Genomic DNA, 19,932 nt, shown 5'->3' with positions numbered 1-19,932 from the left:
GTGTATCGTGAACTAACAAAAATATTGTTCTAATTGTGGTAAAATACACATCAAATTTACCATCATAACCATTTTTAAGAGTATAGTTCTGTGACATGAAATATATTCATATTGTTTAGCAACCATCAACACTATCATTTCTCCAGAGTTTTTTAAATATTCAAAACTAAAACATTGCAAAAATTAAACAATTACTCAACATTCCTTCCTCCTCCAAGCCCCTAGTAACCACCATTCTACTTTCTGGTTTTGACTACTCTAGGTACCTCAGAAAAGTGAAATTACACAGTATTTGTCTTTTTGTAACTGATTTATTTTGCACAGCATAATGTCCTCAAGCTTCATTCATGCTGTAGCGTGAGTCAGAATTTTCTTCCTTTTTAAGGCTTGGTGAAACCTCATCACACGTACATACCACATTTTGTTGATCCACCATTTCTCAATAGACACTGGGTTATTTCCAGTTTATTCTGAATAATGCTACTATGTACATAATATGCAAGTATCTCTTCAAGACTCTACTTTCAGACCATCTGGGCATATACCCAGAAGAGGAATGGCTAAGTCACACGGTAATTCTCTTTTTAATTTTTTGAAGACCCACCATACTGTTTTCCATAGCACCTGCACCATTTTACATTCCCACCAACAGGGCACAAGATGCCCTATTTTTCCACGACCTAGCTGACACTTGAAATTTTCTGTTGCTTTTTTTTTTCTTAATAGTAGCCATCATATTATGTGTGAAGCAATGTCTCATTGTTGTTTTGATTTGTATTTCCCTAATGATTAGTAGTGATAAGTACATGAAAGATTCCTTACATCACTAATGAGTAGGGCTATCTAGTATGTTAGAATGAGAGAAAATGTATAGAAATAAAAAGTATTAGATTTATTTAGCAATAAACACACAGAAAACAAAATGAACAAATAGAAAACAAGTATTAACTTTGTGTGAAAATGTTGTTCTGGAAAATAAAAATAATGATAGTATACTATGTGGTTCAGGTGTAAATAAGTTTCAGTGGTTACAATGAGGTAAACCCTGACCACTGATCTAAATACAATTAAAATCTGATTATTTGGGGAGGATTATGGTGTTGGAATCTTTCATGTAGTAGTGGAGATAGGAAGATAGAAGGAAAGAAAACTAACAAAGAGATAAATCCTCATCTTTCACAATGAGAAGTTAACTGATCATGACAGCTGCGGAAAAGTAAATACATAAAAAAAAAGAGCAAGAAAATAAAAAAATGAAAAATACATAGTTAGCAAAATAAAAAGCATAAAGTAAGATGGTAGGACACAATAAAACTGATCCATTCTAACAATCTAAGTCAATGAAGTAAACTCGGTGAAAAAACAAACATTGTCAGACTAAATTTTTTTTTCAGCTATTAGTGGTTTATTTGCTTCAGTACCATATTTAATTTTTTTATTTTAGTTTTCCTTTATTTCTTCTAAAAAAAAAAAAGGGATACACGTACAAGAATGTGCAGGTTTGTTACATGGGTATACGTGTGCCATGGTGGTTTGCTGCACCTATTGACCTGTACTCTAAGTTCCCTCCCCTCACCCCCACCCCCCAACAGGCCCTGGTGTGTGCTGTTCCTCGCTCTGTGTCCATGTGTTCTCATTGTTCAGCTCCCACTTAGGAGTGAGAACATGCATTGTTTGTTAAATTTTAAAAATCCAATGATATGCTATTTACTATACTCACACTTTGAAAACATGGAGATATAAGAAAATCAAAAGTCAAAATATGATACTCTGCCCCTCCACCAAATAAAACAGCATTAAAAAAGACTTAAAAAGCAGCACTAGAGAGAACATGGGTCACTACATAATGATAAAACTATTTTAAATATACATGCACCTGAGAATATGGCTTCAAAATATGTGAAGCAAAAATTGACATAACTGAAAAAAAGTTGTCAAATCCACCTCCAAAATGGGAGGATTTAACTAACCCCTTTCTCAGCCACTGAAAAGAGTCAGACATTAACAGATTTGATCTAATTGATATACATAACATTGCAAAATAACAAACACTATAATTGAAGAATACATACTTTTCAAGCAGACAAAAAACACTATGAAAGTTGTGCACAAATTGTTCCGTAAATAAACTCTTCATAAATTTCAAGTTTGAGGAAATACAGATAACAATTTCTGACCAATTAAGTTAGAATTCAATAAATAAAGATAATTAGGAAACCCCAAAAGTTCAGAAATATGAAAATGCACACAGGAAGAACTTAAGGGAAAAAAAGGAATAAATAATAGTAGTTACCAAAAATATAATAAAAACTAAATAACACAAAATATTAAAACATTGTGTCATCTGGTTTAAGTGGTACTTAAATAGAAAGCCTTGACAAAACAGAAAGCCTTAATGTATGTATTAGAAAACAAGCAAACTTCAACGTTATTGAGCTAATCACGTAAGAGAGGAAGAGGAAGAGGAAAAATAGAAGGAAGAGAAAGATGGTAAAGAAAACAGAAGGAGAAACTAAGAAACAGAAAGAGAAAAACTAAGGTAAGATTAGAAATAATAAGATAGAAAAAAAAACTCAGGGGAACGCCCCGGTGGAGAAGCTGAGGTCAACATCAGATTTGAAATATTTAAAGTGGATACAAAACTATTTCAGCAATGCAGACAATTAAGTGTGTTGTTGTGGGCGATGGTGCTGTTAGTAAAACATGTCTCCTGATATCCTACACAACAAACAAATTTCCATCGGAATATGTACCGACTGTTTTTGACAACTATGCAGTCACAGTTATGATTGGTGGAGAACCATATACTCTTGGACTTTTTGATACTGCAGGGCAAGAGGATTATGACAGATTACGACCGCTGAGTTATCCACAAACAGATGTATTTCTAGTCTGTTTTTCAGTGGTCTCTCCATCTTCATTTGAAAATGTGAAAGAAAAGTGGGTGCCTGAGATAACTCACCACTGTCCAAAGACTCCTTTTTTGCTTGTTGGGACTCAAATTGATCTCAGAGATGACCCCTCTACTATTGAGAAACCTGCCAAGAACAAACAGAAGCCTATCACTCCAGAGACTGCTGAAAAGCTGGCCCGTGACCTGAAGGCTGTCAAGTATGTGGAGTGTTCTGCACTTACAAAGAAAGGCCTAAAGAATGTATTTGACGAAGCAATATTGGCTGCCCTGGAGCCTCCAGAACCGAAAAAGAGCCGCAGGTGTGTGCTGCTATGAACATCTCTCCAGAGCCCTTTCTGCACAGCTGGTGTCGGCATCATACTAAAAGCAATGTTTAAATCAAACTAAAGATTAAAAATTAAAATTCGTTTTTCCAATAATGACAAATGCCCTGCACCTACCCACATGCACTCGTGTGAGACAAGGCCCATAGGTATGGCCCCCCCTTCCCCCTCCCAGTACTAGTTAATTTTGAGTAATTGTATTGTCAGAAAAGTGATTAGTACTAGTTTTTTTTTTGTTGTTTCAAAAAAAATTTTTTTGTGTGTGTTTTTTTGTTTGTTTGTTTTGTTTAAAAGCAAGGCATGCTTATGGATGACTCTGTAACAGACTAATTGGAATTGTTGAAGCTGCTCCCTGGTTCCACTCTGGAGAGTAATCTGGGACATCTTAGTGTTTTGTTTTGTTTTTTTTCCCTCCTCTTTTTTTGGGGGGGAGTGTGTGTGGGGTTTGTTTTTTAGTCTTGTTTTTTTAATTCATTAACCAGTGGTTAGCCCTTAAGGGGAGGAGGACGGATTGATTCCACATTCCATTTCCTAGATCTAGTTTAGAAAACATGTTCCCCATCTGGTGCTCTTAGGAAGGAGTATAGTAAATGCCTCATTTAATAACATACTCCTTTTTGAAAGTTGCCTTTTCTCTCCACCCTTGAGTAGATCCAGTATTTGATGAAACTCATGAAAGTGGGTGGAGCCCGTCTTGCCCCTCCTCTTTTCTAGGACGCACTATATGTGACTGTGACTTTCAAGGACATTTGTTTGCCATTTGCTGATTTTTTTGGGAAGTTAATTTCTAACTTCTTTCACTGATAAATGAAGAAAAGTATTGCACCTTTGAAATGCACCAAGTAATTTCTAACTTCTTTCACTGATAAATGAAGAAAAGTATTGCACCTTTGAAATGCACCAAATGAATTGAGTTTGTAATTAAAAAAATTTTTTTCCCTTTCAAAAAAAAACCAAAAAAAAAAAAAAACAAAAAAAACTCAGGATAGAGATTAACAGAAGCAGATGGTTTTTAAAAAAAAGTCTAAGAAAATAGAAACTCATCTGAGGTGTGTATGTATTTAAATGAGGAGGTAAAAATAAATGTTAGAAATGCAAAGGGGAACATAGCTAAAGAAGCTGCAGAGGTTAAACTGACAGCATCTATATGTTATTTTAAAAACTTTATAAAATACATTTGAAAAGTTAGATGGAAATGACAAATCTAGAAAATTATAACTTACCAAGGTTGGCTCAAATAGAAATGAAAAACTTGAAATTAAATCAGTAGTTACTAATTATTGGTAGTAAAATCTTCCACAAAGAAAATGCCAGACCAGTTGGTTTTACAACTGAGTTCCAACAATCATTTAAAAAATGAAACAAACAAAAAATTCTACTCTTGTGCAAATTCTCCCAGAAAATAAGAAAGAAAAAAATATTCTCTTCATTTTATGTGACTAGTATAATCTTGATACCAAACCAGAAAATGGTACTACAATAAAGGAAAAAGCATAAGCCAATCTCACTCATTAACACAGTTGCAAATGTGCTAAATAAAATAACAGGTTGCCAAATTGAACAGGTATAAAAAAGAATGTTTTACAAATCTGAGTTATAGTCCAGGTATACAAGACTAGTTTATCATTAGAAAATTCATTAATGTAATTAAACACTGATTAATGGATAGAAATCCGTGTGGTCATCTCAATACATACAAATGTTAACATCATATATGTATACATGAATAAAAGTGTTAGTAAATTGGAAATAAAAGGCAATCTCCCTATTGTAGTAACTAATAGTTACAAAAAACCTACATGCTAAAAAACATTCTTTTTAAGATCAAGAAAAAGTCAAGGATGTCTGCTATAATCAATTCTATTCAACATTACATAAGGTTTGTTAATTAGAGGTACACTGAAATAAAACTAACTAAATAATATAAGCCCCAGAGAGGAAAAAACAAAACAAAACAAAACAATCATTTGTTAACTGTAAGATTACCTATGTAAAACCTCCAAAAAAATGTAAGGATGAATTATAAGAATAAGGGTTTACATCAATGACAGACTGGATCAAGAAAATATGGTACATATACAACATGGAATACTATGCAGCCACAAAAAGGAAAGAGATCATGTCCTTTACAGAGACATGGATGGAGCTGGAAGCCATTATCCTCAGCAAACTAACACAGGAACAGAAAACCAACGCCACATGTTCTCACTTGTAAGTGGGAGCAGAACAGTGTGAACATATAGACACAGGGAGGGAAACAACACACACTCAGGGACCTAACTGGGGCAGGGGATATGGGGGGGAGGGAGAGCATCAGGAAAAATAGCTAATGCATGTGGGGCTTAACACCTAGGTGATGGATTGATAGGTGCAGCAAAACACCATGGCATGTGTTTACCTATGTAACAAACCTGCACATCCTGCACATGTACCCCAGAACTTAAAATAAAATAAATTAAAATAGAATAAAATTTATAGAGTTTAGCTCAGTAAACTTGCTTGATACAAAATTAATAAAGGACAATGCATTCTATACAAAGTAACAGTTATAAAATATAACATTTATATAAATAGCAGCAAAAATACCTAAATGTATATATAATAAAGTGTAAGCATGTTGTCTAGAAAATTATAAAATTTTATTGAAAGATAAGAAAGGAAGTAAAATTTTCTTTCAAGAATATCTAAATATTTGTTTATGGAATATCATGTTTATGAATACAAAGATTCAATGTCATCCAGATTCTGAATCTCTTAATAGTGATCTATAAATGCTATGCAATTCCAACCCGTCCTAACAGTTTTTTAAAGGAATTTAGTAAGTTGATTTTAAAATCTGTATGAAATATAAATGGGCCAAGAGTATTTAAAATCTCTCAAAAAAATATTGTATGAAACTTATCTTAAAATATACTAAGATTTAGAACAAATTTATAATAAGTAGCTTAGCGTGGCACTGGCATAGGCCCACATAAATAGATCAATGGACTTAATAGAGACCCCAGAATAATACCATGCATATTCAATATAAAAAATTCAATATACAAAAGAGATGGCATTCTAGTCAGTAAAGAGGGACTTTTCAGTAAATAATGCTGGGAAAATTGATTTATATATTTTTTCGTGAAAATGGATGCCTACTCACTACACATATACACAATAAACAGGTGGATTAAATAGGAAAACTCTAAAATGTTTAGAAGACAACACAGAATATTTTTGTAACCTCAGGTTAGAGAATAAGATCTTTAAAAGACTCAAAGAGCTTAGACCTAAAGGGGGAGAACTCAGAAATTCAACTGCATTAAGAAATAGTATTTACAAAAAGAAATCATTAAGGAAATTAAAATGCAAGGCACAAAGTAAGAGGATATATATGCTACATACATGACTAATAATGAACTTTTATCTGGAACACATAAAGAACTCCTAAAAATGAATACAAAAGACCTGAATGTCTTCTCCCTGCCAAGATGTAGTAACAGGGTCTAGATTTACTCTCTCACCTAAAACAATTGAAAACCAAACAAAATATAGGACACAGTGAAATTGAAGACATTTGGCCTCAGACAACAAAGAACAGGGATCATCCACAGCCAGGGAACAAATGAGCCCTACAACTGCTCCATCGTGTTACCTTGTGAAGTTTCCAGGACACAGCACAGAGAGGACAAACCCACAGTCTGGCAGACTTCTTAAGCTGAGGAGACAAAGCTGAGGACCCAGGGAGACCAAGATGTCTAGAATTCTCAGGGCAGAGCACCAAAGAGGGAAAGAGTTCCAAAGAGAGAACAAAAACCATAGAAGGTCGCACTTGAGCATGCAGAATACTTATCCAGGCACATGCGTGAAGAAACCATCTGAGTTTGATTGAAAAATCACCCGAAGGATTAGAGGTGACAGTACTCAGAACTCACATAGGAGTAGTGCCCTAATAATCCTAAATGTTTATCCATGAAATAACAGAGTTTCAACATACACGCAGCAAAAACTTACAGAACTGCAAGAAATCCGCAATTATATTTGAATATTTCCGTTAAAAAGGCCAACGAGACTACAGAAAAATTGATGAAAGATGTGAAGAATTTCTTCACAGAAGGGAAAACACATGGCTAGTAAACATTTCTTTAAAAAGGTAAGAGAGTGTTAAAAATTTGGAAAATGCAAATGAAAGCCACAATGAGACACCATTCTACACCTACACAATTGGCACACATTTAAAAGTCGGGCAGTATCCAGTGTAGGAGAGGTTGTTGCTCAGCAGAAATGTGTATACAGTGCTGGTGGGAGAACAGTATGGAAACATCTACTAAAATTAAAGAAGCACATACACCAAAACCGAGTAATTCACATACCATTGTATACCCTGTTTCTACAATGGACCAGGAGACATATATATCCATGAATGCAACAGTCAGTGAAAAAAAAGAAGAAGAAGAAAAAAAAAGAAAACCATTGAAAACAACCCAAATTTCCTTTGTTGGGACAATAAATCAATAAACTATAGCATATTTCTATAATGAAAGACTGTACAGGAGTAAGACTGAACTACTTCTCAGATCAATGTGCATAAATGTCCCAAATATAATGAGAGAGAAAAAGCAAGTTGCAAAAAATACACATAATACATTGCCATTTATATAGTGTCCCAAAGCATGTAAAATTAAATAATAAATTATCACACTATACATTCTCATGTAGCAAGACCATATAAGCAAAAAAATTGATAAATGCAAAATTCACTTTCCTGGATACCACTGGGCAGAGGGCTAGACAGACAATATTGAAGGAGGTTCTGGAAATGTGGGAGTAGGTAAATATCATTTTTAATACTATATACAGATATTATAAATATTATCTATTGTGTATCTAACAAAATCAATTTTATAATTTCATTGTTCATAGTAAAGGCCATTTATTGAGCACTAGTTTTCTGTCAACACTACACCAACAGCTTACTTCAACCATCCCATTGTTTCCCTCACTCTAACCCTTCAAAAATGCACTGTGATTATTCCAAATAAGTACAAAGGGAAACCAAGGCATGTAAATATTGAGTTGATTTCCCATGATCACATAGCTGATAACCGAACAGCAAAATGTGATACCCTTAGAGTCCTCCCTTATCAACACCAATAGATTAACCTCCTTGGAGACCATTACTAATACTTACAACTTAGGTGAGGTCTCATTAAGGGTCTCACAATCTAGTAGATATTATACAAAGAAATTCTTAGACTACATTAAGAGTTGTATTAAAACCTGTTTTAAAAAAAAACTGTGGGAAAATTAATGAACAGGCATTCAATAATTAATTCTGTTGTTGGGAGTCAGGTATACTTGCCCAAGAGAAAACATTTTAAGCCAGGGTGTTCAAAGATGAGTAAGAGTTCTCATCGAGGGAAAGCAAGTGCATACTTCAATGGCTGTGCTGGGGTGATTGGAGAAAGAAGGCATAGAGACCCAAACCAGACCAGTTAGCTATATTGCAATATGTTCGGCAAGAAATGACAAGATCCTGTGTTTTATTTTTAGTAATTTGGAAGAAAATAAAATTGTGTTTGAAATTATCCTATTAGAACATAGAAGGGATTTCCACAAAAAAGTAAAATACTGATATTTTATCAAATATCAAAGACTTCCCAGGTTGCAAAGGATTATGAAAAGAGCATAGGCTCTGGAGGCAGGCATAAATGAGTTTATGTCTTGTCTCTACCCCTTACTATTTACATGACCTCTCTGTGTGTAAAATAGGAAGATACTATCTACTTCATAGGGTTCTAGTAGTCAAAGCAAAAATGCTTAGTAGTGTGCATGGCAGATATTTAATAATATGTGCTCAAAATGTATTAGTTCTTTTCTCCTCCCTTAGGCTGAATGCAAATGACCAGTTGTTGTTTGTTTTTTTCTTCTCTCTGTGGCCTCCCTATTGATGCCAGAATGCACATGTAGAAAATACTGTTAATATTTGCATACTTGCCTGTGGTTAAGAATCAATGTCTTGGCTTGTATAACTTGGTCTGTAGGGCCCTCAGCTTCCTGATATAGAAAACACCATTACAAATGGTATCCTATCACTTTAACAATTGCCATAACAATGCCTTTGCGAGGTCACAGACCTAATAGACCCCTGCACAAAGGAAATCATGTCAAGTAAGAAATAAATAACTAAGGGGGATGGGGTACATGTATCTGTCTATCTGTCTGTTTATTCTTCCTTCCAAACCCAAAACTGACATCACCACATTGCCTCCTTTTGGCAGCATTTCTGACTCCCCACCATTATCACATCCTCCTCTGAACACCCACCCTGCAAATAACGCATAGTGCTAGAGTCTTTTTTTTTTTTTTTTTTTTGGAGATGGAGTCTTGCTCTGTCACCCAGGCTGGAGTGCAGTGGCATGTTCTCAGCTCACTGCAACGTCTGCCTCCGGGGTTCAAGCGATGCTGCTGCCTCAGCCTCCTGAGTAGCTGGGATTACAGGCACACACCACCACACCCAGGTAATTTTTGTATTTTTAGTAGAGATGGGGTTTCACCATGTTGGTCAGGCTGGTCTCAAACTCCTGACCTCGTGATCCACCTGCCTCGGCCTCCCAAAGTGCTGAGATTACAGGCGTCAGCCACCACGCCTGGCTGAGTCATTTTAAAAACATTTTTCTTTGGCCTCCTTTAGTTTGAGCTCTGTCAAAGCAGGGTCCATGTTTTACTGACCTGTCTGTGTCCCTCCAGTAGTAAGAATCATGTATCAAAATAGTGCACGCTCAGTAAAATGCTTTTTGTGGGGTGTGCTTCACATAAAATACGAATACTGCTGTTTACTGTCTCATTGCTTCACAGACACGTGCAGAAGTTATCTTTGTCGTGCTCGTAAGTAATTGAAAATTCTTTATTTGAAAGGTAAAATGTGACTAAAAGTTCAAGTCAATGCCCGTATAAGTTGTGATTTGGTGTTCTTTCAGAAGAAAATTTTGTTTATTTTTACAACTAACATTCATTAAGAGTATTACACATAAGTATGGTATGGAAAGCTTTGAGGCTGTGGTAAGCAAAGATGCCTTGATCTGCAAGCAGCACTCTGTGCCCTAAACTAATCCTGACAGGACAAGAGCCTCCAAAGTCACAAGGGAAACCACCACACCACATGGAAGCACATTTTATTATTAAGTCACAGGAGGATGGAAGTTTCCAGAAGGATCCCTCCAAGAAAAGAAAAAGAAACAAAGTTTCTGATGTGTTTGAGTAAATCAAGACGGAATTTACATTTCTGGCAGACAGTGGGCAAAAAATTAAGAAAAGGATCAAATAAAAGACAACAACAAAAACAAAGACAATTATTAACTCAGACCAAACAAAAACTCTACTGAAAAAAAATTAGTCTTAGGACATTAGTGGCTCAGTTGCGCACAATATTTACATTAAAAATGATGTAAGAACTGAGTCACAATTTAAACAAAATTTGTTAAATAACCAAATTAGAAAAATGGAGAAGAGAAAGTTTACTTTGTATAATGTTGTATTCAGACTAGAAAAAGAAAAAATTCATCGTATATAATAGGAAGTCAATGTCATGTTTTCAACTAGAAAAATCAAATAACTATATATGCATGTATTTACATAGAAGTAAATACAATTAAAAGTGTTGGCATTCAAGAACATAAGAAGTAGAGTGATAAAAAAGATGATGATTCTTTGCTATTGGGTGGTATGACTCTCAATGTTCTATTTCAATTTTTAAACCATACACATATATTACAGAGACAAAACTAAACATTCAGTTAGAAAAATAAAGATAACCACAAGAGAAGAGAACTCAGACTTTTAGATCCCAAAGTAGTGAGCACCTATTTGCAGTTCAGAGTGGTATGACATCCCTTGGAGGCATGTGGAAAGGAACAAGTGTTGTTTGGTTGTCCCAGTGACTGGGATGCTACTGATATTTAGTGGCACAGCCAATAATAAAGTGGAGAGCAGCCAACACAAACAAGAAACGGCCATGTTGAACGTCAACAGCACCTCTCCTAGGAAACACTGCACTAGATGGGAAAAAGAGTAAAGCAAAACATAATGACGGGGGAAAAGCTAGAAGAGAAGAAAATACAAAAGGAAACTATAGCATTAGAAAATATACCATAATAAAGACATATGCACACGTATGTTTATTGCGGCATTATTCACAATAGCAAAGACTTGGAACCAACCCAAATGTCCAACAATGATAGACTGGATTAAGAAAATGTGGCACATATACACCATGGAATACTATGCAGCCATAAAAAATGATGACTTCGTGTCCTTTGTAGGGACATGGATGAAATTGGAAATCATCATTCTCAGTAAACTATCCCAAGAACAAAAAACCAAGCACCGCATATTCTCACTCATAGGTGGGAATTGAACAATGAGAACACATGGACACAGGAAGGGGAACATCACACTCTGGGGACTGTTGTGGGGTGGGGGGAGGGGGGAGGGGGGAGGGATAGCATTGGGAGATATACCTAATGCTAGATGACGAGTTAGTGGGTGCAGCGCACCAGCATGGCACATGTATACATATGTAACTAACCTCCACATTGTGCACATGTACCCTAAAACTTAAAGTATAATAATAATAAACAAAAAAAATTAAAAAAATAAAAATAAAAATAAAAACCAAAAAAAAACACAGAAAATATACCATAATAATACGGCCAAAAGAAGTTGAAACATATTGGTAAGCACAAAAATTACCAATTCATTAAATATTCCTGTTTGAACAAAGGTAAGGGTTAAGAGAAAAAAGTATTTACCGTGCAAATATTTTTAAAAAGTACAATTAGCAATATTAATATTTTAAATTAATACAATTAGAAAGCATTAAATTGAATGAGTAGTAATATTTTCACATTAAAAGTTACAGTGTACTAAAACTATATAGAATAACTTTTATGCATCTAACAATCGAGTTTTGAAATCTACAGATAAAAACCTCCCTAGATGCAGGAATATGTTGAAAACTGCACTAACACAATGAGAGAGTTTCTCTCAGAAACTGACAAAGAAAAAGATAATTTGATTAAAATAGTTTGTAAAGTTATTCTCCATGGTACACACGTATGTGTATATATGTCTATGTATATTTATATGTGTATGCATGTGTATACAAATGATATACCCACACGTATGAAAGAATGAGACAGAAATTCATACTCAACAATAAAATTATTTTCAAACACCCATATACAATTCATACAGGCTACACATATGTGTATATATGTCTATGTATATTTTTATGTGATGTATGCATATACACATATACAAATGACATACACACATGGAAGAATAAGAGAGACAGAAATCCATACTCAACAACAATAAAATTATTGTAAAATTGTATGGTACACACATGTGTATATATGTCTTTGTATATTTATATGTGTATGTATGCGTATACACACATACAAATGATACACATATACATATGAAAGAATGAGAGAGACAGAAATTCATACTCAACAATAACAATAAAATTACTTTCACTCATATATAATTCATACAGGCTACATTATCTGACAACCAATCAGAAGAGAGGGAAAAAAAGAAGAGCAGGAAGGAAAAACAAAAGAAAAGTAGGAAGGAGAGAAGAGAGCGAGAGGAAAGGAGAAAAGAGGAAGAAAGATTAACAATAAAAAAATAAGTCTACGTACCATCTTCTCCAATCTATGTGCTTGGAATTTTAAAAAACTCTGAAGTAAATCTTAGATTAAGCAGGAAATAAAAGCAAAATAATTTTAAGGAAAAATGTGTTACTAATGTTATTTTAAGAAAATAAACATCTTTAATGCAGCTAAATGCTTTAAAATGGACTTTTCCCAATTGGAGAGTTCACTGTCCAGATTTTCAGAAATTTCTACCTTAGAAAATAGATAAGAGTTTGGTTAGGCATATTGTGCCTGTTCGGTCGTCTCATTCACAAAGACACAGTGAAACCCTAAAATCAACTCAGCATTTCAAGAATCTTTACACCAGGAATGGTCCTAGACAAATGACATGATTAAAGATTTCTCTGTTAAGAAATAAAGCTCCCCAGTCCTTCTAAGACCAGTATCTCTAGGACTTGAGAAATAAATTACATTCCCAGGATAAAAGACTCAAGCTTAGTCATACTTGCTTTTATCTCACTGTGGAACTTAACATATGGAAGGAGTTGGAATTCAGTTTTGTCAGTAAGTTTAATTATTTCTTCAAAGTATGGGTGACTGGGTGACTGTGTGAAATTAGACAACTTACATAGTTACTTCATGAGATATAAGTGTCCAAACTCGTCTTAAATATTTTGAAAGTATTGACTTGGTGGACAACTATTCATTTAAGATTGGCCTTTCCCTGTTCTTCCTACCAGGACATTCCCTCCCACCACCCTCCCTAACTAACACACACACACACACACACACACAAACACACACACACACACACACACACAATCATATTCCCTCTGTAGACATAGCTATAACCTGTTTGTTTTTAAAAAGGATCACTAAAACAGACCAAACTGAAATAAATATTTATTAATTTAATGCATTATCTAAATAACTGGTTTCCTGACATTAAAAGAAATATAGACTAGATGGCTGAATGACTTTACTCTCTCTCTTCCTCTCTTTCTCTTTCTCTCTCTCTTCCTCTTTCTCTCTTCCTTTCTCTCTCTCTTTCCTCCATTTATTCACTTAAGTACTTAACAGTATTTAAGTGAGACTCTGAAATGAGATTTAGAAAACTGAGTTGAGATAAATCAAAACAACTCTAAGATGAATAATACTAAGAAATACTAAATACGTAAACTAGAATCATAGATATAACTAGTACAACATACATGTAACAGATGACAGAATGTCAACTACAGCACCAAGATAACAATTAGTGTTTTGGGTGCTGGTCTAAGCTGCAAACACAAATGCATTTTCCCAAACAGGGGTCACAACACCTGACTCTCTCACCCACATCAGCGGTGGAGATTAATGAGGATTTTCAAGAGGTATTTTCCTTGAACAGAACTCTCCGTGTAATGTGCGTTTCATGCCTCAAAGAAAAAGGGAGGATGATTACTTTCCTTTCACTTCAACCTAAAGGTGGACACTTGCTATGAATAGTGTTCCTTCAAAATTCATATGTTGAATTTCTAACCCACAATACCTTAGAATATGACTATATTTGGAGATAGGGCTTTTGGAGAGGGAACTAAGTTAAAAGGAGGCCACTAGGATGCGGCCCTAATCCAATATGAGTGGTGTACTTGTAAGAAGAGGAAGAGACAGCAGGGATGCAGGCATAGGACAAAGGCCATGTGAGGACAGCAAGAAGGTGGACGTCTGCCAGTCACGGAGACAGGCCTCCTGAGAAAACAAGCCTGCTAGCACGTTGATCTTGGACTTCCAGCCTCCAGAACTGTAAGAAAATAAATTTCGGTTGCTTAAGCTTCCCAATCTGTGGTATCTCGCTAGAGCAGCCCTGGAAGACTAATTCAGCACTCAAATGAACTACTCACAGGTCATGGTATGAGTCCCTTCAGTTAAAGGAATATGATGAATTGGAGTCTTAACTTCTACTGAATGAATCAAGAACCCAGGAAGAGAACAAGAGGAAAGAAACAAAGATGATGAAAGAAAGAAGAAGCAAAGGAAAACTGAAGCTGGGTTGGGATCTTCCTGCAGCCCTAGAGACTGAGAAAAGGATGTGCTTATGTTTCCCCTGGACAAGACACGGCACAGGTGAAGGAGTAAGCACAGTGATGCCTTAGCATCTCTCCAAGGAGGCCTACAAAGGCAAACAGAGTTTGTATTCATGTCTTACTGCTGCTGTAACAAATCACTACACACTTGATGACTACGGACAATTCAAATGTATTCTTTCATAGTTGTAGAGCCCAGAAGTCTGAAATCAGGATGTTGGCGGAGTTGGATCCTTCTGCAGTCACTGAAGTAAGCACTTATCCCATGCCTCTTTTCCATTTGCTGCTGCAATTCTTGGCATTTCTTGGCTGCTTGATGCATCACTCCAGTCTCTGCTGTTGTCTTCTGATGTCCTTCCCCCTTGTGTCTCTGTGTCTTCTTTTTTTCTGTCTCTCATAAGGGACACTTATTGAATTTAGGGCTCCTTCTAAATCCAGGGTAATTTCATCTCGAGATCTTTATCTTAATTATATCTGCAAAAATCCTATTTCCAAAGAAGGTCACTTTCACGGAGAGCAAGGGTTAAGACTCAGACATATCTTGTGGGGGTGGCTGCTCAGACCACTGCAGACCTCAACAAATGGAAGCTAGGGTAAATGGCTAGATGCCCACAGGACAGAGAAAGTGATGAACTGAAGAACACAGCATCACCTGCATCTAAGATACTAGAGTACTTCTCAGCAGTGGGCCACACAAATGTCTGTAAGAAAAAGAATCAACTCTAAATATCTACCGAAATCAGAGCATGTGATGCCACCTTAAGAACTTTCCATTTTATTACCTCTCCGGCAACTAGGTCAGAAACCATGGTAAACAGGCAGAAATAAGAGGAGGCAGAGAAAGAACCACGGCCTTGCTCCCTCTTCCAATAGAGCTAAGAAAGACTTAATTCTAAATTCAATTTGGAATTTTAACTACTTCATAGTCAGATTATTCTAAGCATCAAAATTAGACGGTATTTTGCAATTTAAAGTGTCCATATGCATCAGCCAGGGTCCTAGCAGGAAACAGACAGCACTCAGACTGGGTTATTGAGGAAAGCTTTAAAAAAAGACTGTTTACGATGGTGTGAGCAGGGTTCAAGGAAAGCAACAAGGAATAGTGCAGTACCTCAGGGCTTGCAACAGCAGGAAGTCATTGCTGCCCATGAAGGGGCTGGGGTAGAATTGGTTTACAAAACCTGCAGAGAGTAGCAGTTTGCCAAAGGCTGCCTAGCACGAGAGGAGGCATTAGTCGAGGGACACAGCCAACCCACTGCAGTCCAGCAGGAAGGAAACCAGCAGGGTAAAGACTTCGGTTTCTCTCCTCCCACTTACCTTCCCATCTCTTGCTAATGTTTCCCATTGATCAAGTCCAAATGGAAGATAAAGGACAATGGAGTCCATTGATGCCAACCCACATGGGTTGGCCCAGAGCAAGGAAAAGTAGAGACTGGATATGGATAGGCAAATAGAAAATATCCAGTACACAATAAAATTTAAGGTGACCAGAGAAATAGAACCTACCTACGTTTTCTTCTAAATGGAAGGGAAGAGTTATCTCCACCAAGCAAGTGTAAAGGGACATTGGGAAACAGAAACAAAGTTCCTTTTATAAGGATTTCCTAAAAGTCTCATTTGTTGACTGAACCAGTATAATATATAACAGAATGTGATTATAATTTAACTACTGACCTGGTAATTTAGAGAAGTGATAAATTCTGACAGGAATATATCAGTCTTGGTTCTGGGACTTGTTCTTCTGGACTCCTGCCTTGCACTGGTGTTTATTTTCTTATGATCTTTTGCTACAAAGACTTCTCAAACCCCCTCTTCATTTATTTTCACTCTGTTTAAGACAGGCGACTTTTTACCATAGCTGCTTTTGCCTCTGCTATTCTACAGCAATTATTCTTTTATCTTTCAATTAAGCCTCCTTGCATTCAGTCATTTATGCATTGAATCACGCTATCTAGTGAAAGACACTTTGCTCTGTCTTTGCAACAAAACCTCGACTCTTCTTTCCATCCATCAGAGCATTGCTAAGGAATACTAAATATGTAAACTAGAAACGTAGATATAACTAGTACAACATACATGTAACAGATGACAAAATAGAATGTCAACTACAGCACCAAGATAACAATTAGTGTTTTGGGTGCTGGTCTAAGCTGCAACATAGAGACTGGATATGGATAGGCAAATCCATCCATCTATGTTGGTTTCAGCTTCTGATCACTCTAAGTTGGTTTCAGCTTCTGACTGTCACTGTGCTAAACTGAGCTCCATTTGGAAGGATGGAATGGTATAGTGGAAAAAAACATCATGATAGTAATAGTAGCTATCATTTATTGAGCCCTTATAATGGGGTAAGCACTGTGCTAAGCACTTTACATGCTTCATAACTACTCATGTTCCCTCCCTTCCATTTAAATACGAGGAATCTGAAGTTTCCTTGAGTTCAAGGATTTAGAGAAGGTCATAGATCTAGCAGTCGGCAGAACTAAAATTGTAAGTCAGATGTGACTGAACAAAGTCTGTGCTCTCCAGCCTTTCAATCAGTATTTTCCATACATTAATTCACCTCTGTAGCTTACTATATCTGTGACCTTAGGAAATTCACTCAACCTCCCTGTGCCTCAGTTTCCTCATATGTAAAATGAGAATGAGGATAACACCTGGTCTTCCTGTTTCCCAAAGTTACTGAGAAAATTTGTTGAATTTAAAACTGACTTGCTGGGGGGCAGTACATAAATGTTATTGTTAATTAACAGTTTTTATACCTACTATACTAGGCTATATTTGCTCATGGGCTGCCTCCCCTTAGAACAGACCTCAGAGTAACTAGTCCTTGAGGGAACCGACCCTTATCTAGCTAGTCTACCGACGACTGCAGTCCTGGTTTCTTTTTCTAGACTAGCTGGCGGCCTGGCTGCAATGCCTCGCCAGCCCAGTGATCTCTCAGACCTGTGGGTGTGCCCACTGAATCTTGCCCATACATCTCTGTGTTTCTTCTGATGCGTGTAGTCAGTCATGACTCTGGGCTCTAAGAACCTTGAGAAGGACATTCATCCTGTTCCAGAGCTTTTGGACAGGAGAGAATGACTCCTGTACAAAAATGTACTGCAAAATCTGTCCCCAAGGGCGGCAAGTATTTTTCTCAGCAGACGTTTTTTTCTGTTTCTCTTTTAAAAAAAAATAAAGTTGTCTTATTACATAACTGTAGGACAAGAGTTCAAACATTAATGCTGAAAATGCAAAAGGTGCCCTACATTCAAACCTCTGTTGCCCAGAAGAAGCACCCTTTGCAACACCTAAATCCTTTAACTCTTTCATCCCTCTGCTACATGAACATTACAAAGTTCTATTGATCCGTAACTTCTTGGTGACGTCATGTGAAACATAAAATACCCTAAGAAACCTCAACTCCTAGAAATCTGCCTGGCTTGATTGCAAAAGCAAAAGAATTCGAGAATTTTATAAGCACTAACTCAATTTTCATTATTTTCTTATCATTCATAAGTCAAAGATTTTCTTTGTACAAACAATTAAGCACAAAAATTGACTCCCCGAATCTATTCTATGAACTAGGCACGGTAGATTGATTCTGTTTGTCAGTTAAATATGAACATCTTATTTAAAATAACTCCATTTTGATATATGTTTTCTAGAATACATATATAAATTTTACATTCATGGAAATGGGCTAATTCCATCCTCTTTTGACTAATGAATATCATAGGCATTAGGGGCAATTGTATCTTTCTTTTACCATTTCAACTAATATTTATGAGGCACTACAGTGCTGTAGATACTGAGGCATAATTCTGAGGTTTAAATCCTAGTTTCTATTTCTCAAGAGAAGAAAGAAGGGCTGCGAACAGGTAGATTTGAAGAACTGTGTATGAAGAGATATGGGTTATATCCTGATATTAGCACCTGAAAAAATTATTCTAAACCCATCAACTAAAGAGGCAAGAATTCTTGACTTGCCTAAGCAGGAATGTGGGTTTGTGGAGTTTTTTCTGTAATTCCAAAAAAAATTTTACATCTTCCACATACTAATTCACCCTGGACAACTTTACTTCTTTGAGTCTGTGTCCTCCTCTATAAAAAGAGAATAATTATCTCCACCTCGCAAAGTTTTTGTAAGGACATGTGTACAACGTCCGGCATAGTGACTGGCAAGTAATAGTTGCTTTTTTTAAAAGGTAGCTATTGTTGTTATTATTCTCATCATTACCATGATGGTGGGCTTTTTCTACGTGCAATTTTTATATTTTCAAATATCTTATTAAACTTGCAGTATATTTTGATCCATGCAATATATCCAAATGCATTTAATGACAGGCTATGTCAAAAAGCAACTCTGGTATAGTTTTTGTCTTTTAGAAAAATGCTGTTCAGAATCAATGTATCATAGAAATTAAAAGCCCAACTTGAGATATTATTGTGTCATAGTCCATTGCTTGAGAACAGAACCATCCATCCTCCACGGACAGGTCTGCGCTTGGTACAGATGGGTTGCACTAGATTTGTATGTGCTATAAGTTTTGTTATACTTGAAATGGTTAATTAGAAGAAGTAGGGGAATCTGAAATGTCACAGCAAGTTCTTCTTGGCCCACTGTCACGTTTCATGAATTCTTTTGCTGAACCCATCTGGATTAAGCAGTGACCCAATCCAAACAAATTGCTTTTGTGCCTCTTATCTCCTATACCTATTTATGTTCCAATACATCTGCATGGTGTGGCTCAGTAAGATCCATTAAGTCCTTGGGCAGTGTTTATGGCTAACTTTTTTCTTCTTTGAGGCTCTGATCTCTCACAATAATGTGACAGAAAACTACCGTGCAAGAGTAAGTAAAATACTTTTTTAGAAGAAAGGGAAAGAAGTATAACATATACAATTTCAATCTGGGAACTCTCTGAGCAACCTTTTGGATGAGAGACAATCATTTCTTGTAGATTTTAGGTAAAGATATAATTTACCTTTATTTGCAGACA

The 19,932-nt window shown here is 36.0% G+C and overlaps 2 pseudogenes across 3 annotated transcripts in view; one reads left to right on the top strand and one right to left on the bottom strand.

Annotated features, from left to right (window-relative positions):
* GBA3 (glucosylceramidase beta 3 (gene/pseudogene)) overlaps positions 1-19,932 on the bottom strand; it is a 126,633-nt pseudogene that overhangs the window by 88,966 nt on the left and 17,735 nt on the right. Inside the window, exon 1 of one of the 3 annotated variants that reach the window (NR_102357.2) lies at positions 16,454-16,512. The exons of the other annotated variants lie outside the window; for them this stretch is intronic. The product of NR_102357.2 is annotated as a glucosylceramidase beta 3 (gene/pseudogene), transcript variant 3, non-coding (transcript). Of the gene's footprint in view, positions 1-16,453; positions 16,513-19,932 lie in introns of those variants that run through there. 3 annotated transcript variants of the gene reach the window in all.
* CDC42P6 (CDC42 pseudogene 6) lies at positions 2,581-3,310 on the top strand (annotated as a pseudogene).

This window comes from Homo sapiens, chromosome 4 (assembly GCF_000001405.40).
Source record: "Homo sapiens chromosome 4, GRCh38.p14 Primary Assembly".
In the NCBI taxonomy this organism is placed as follows: domain Eukaryota; kingdom Metazoa; phylum Chordata; class Mammalia; order Primates; family Hominidae; genus Homo; species Homo sapiens.
This window is presented reverse-complemented; position numbering and strand designations above follow the sequence as displayed.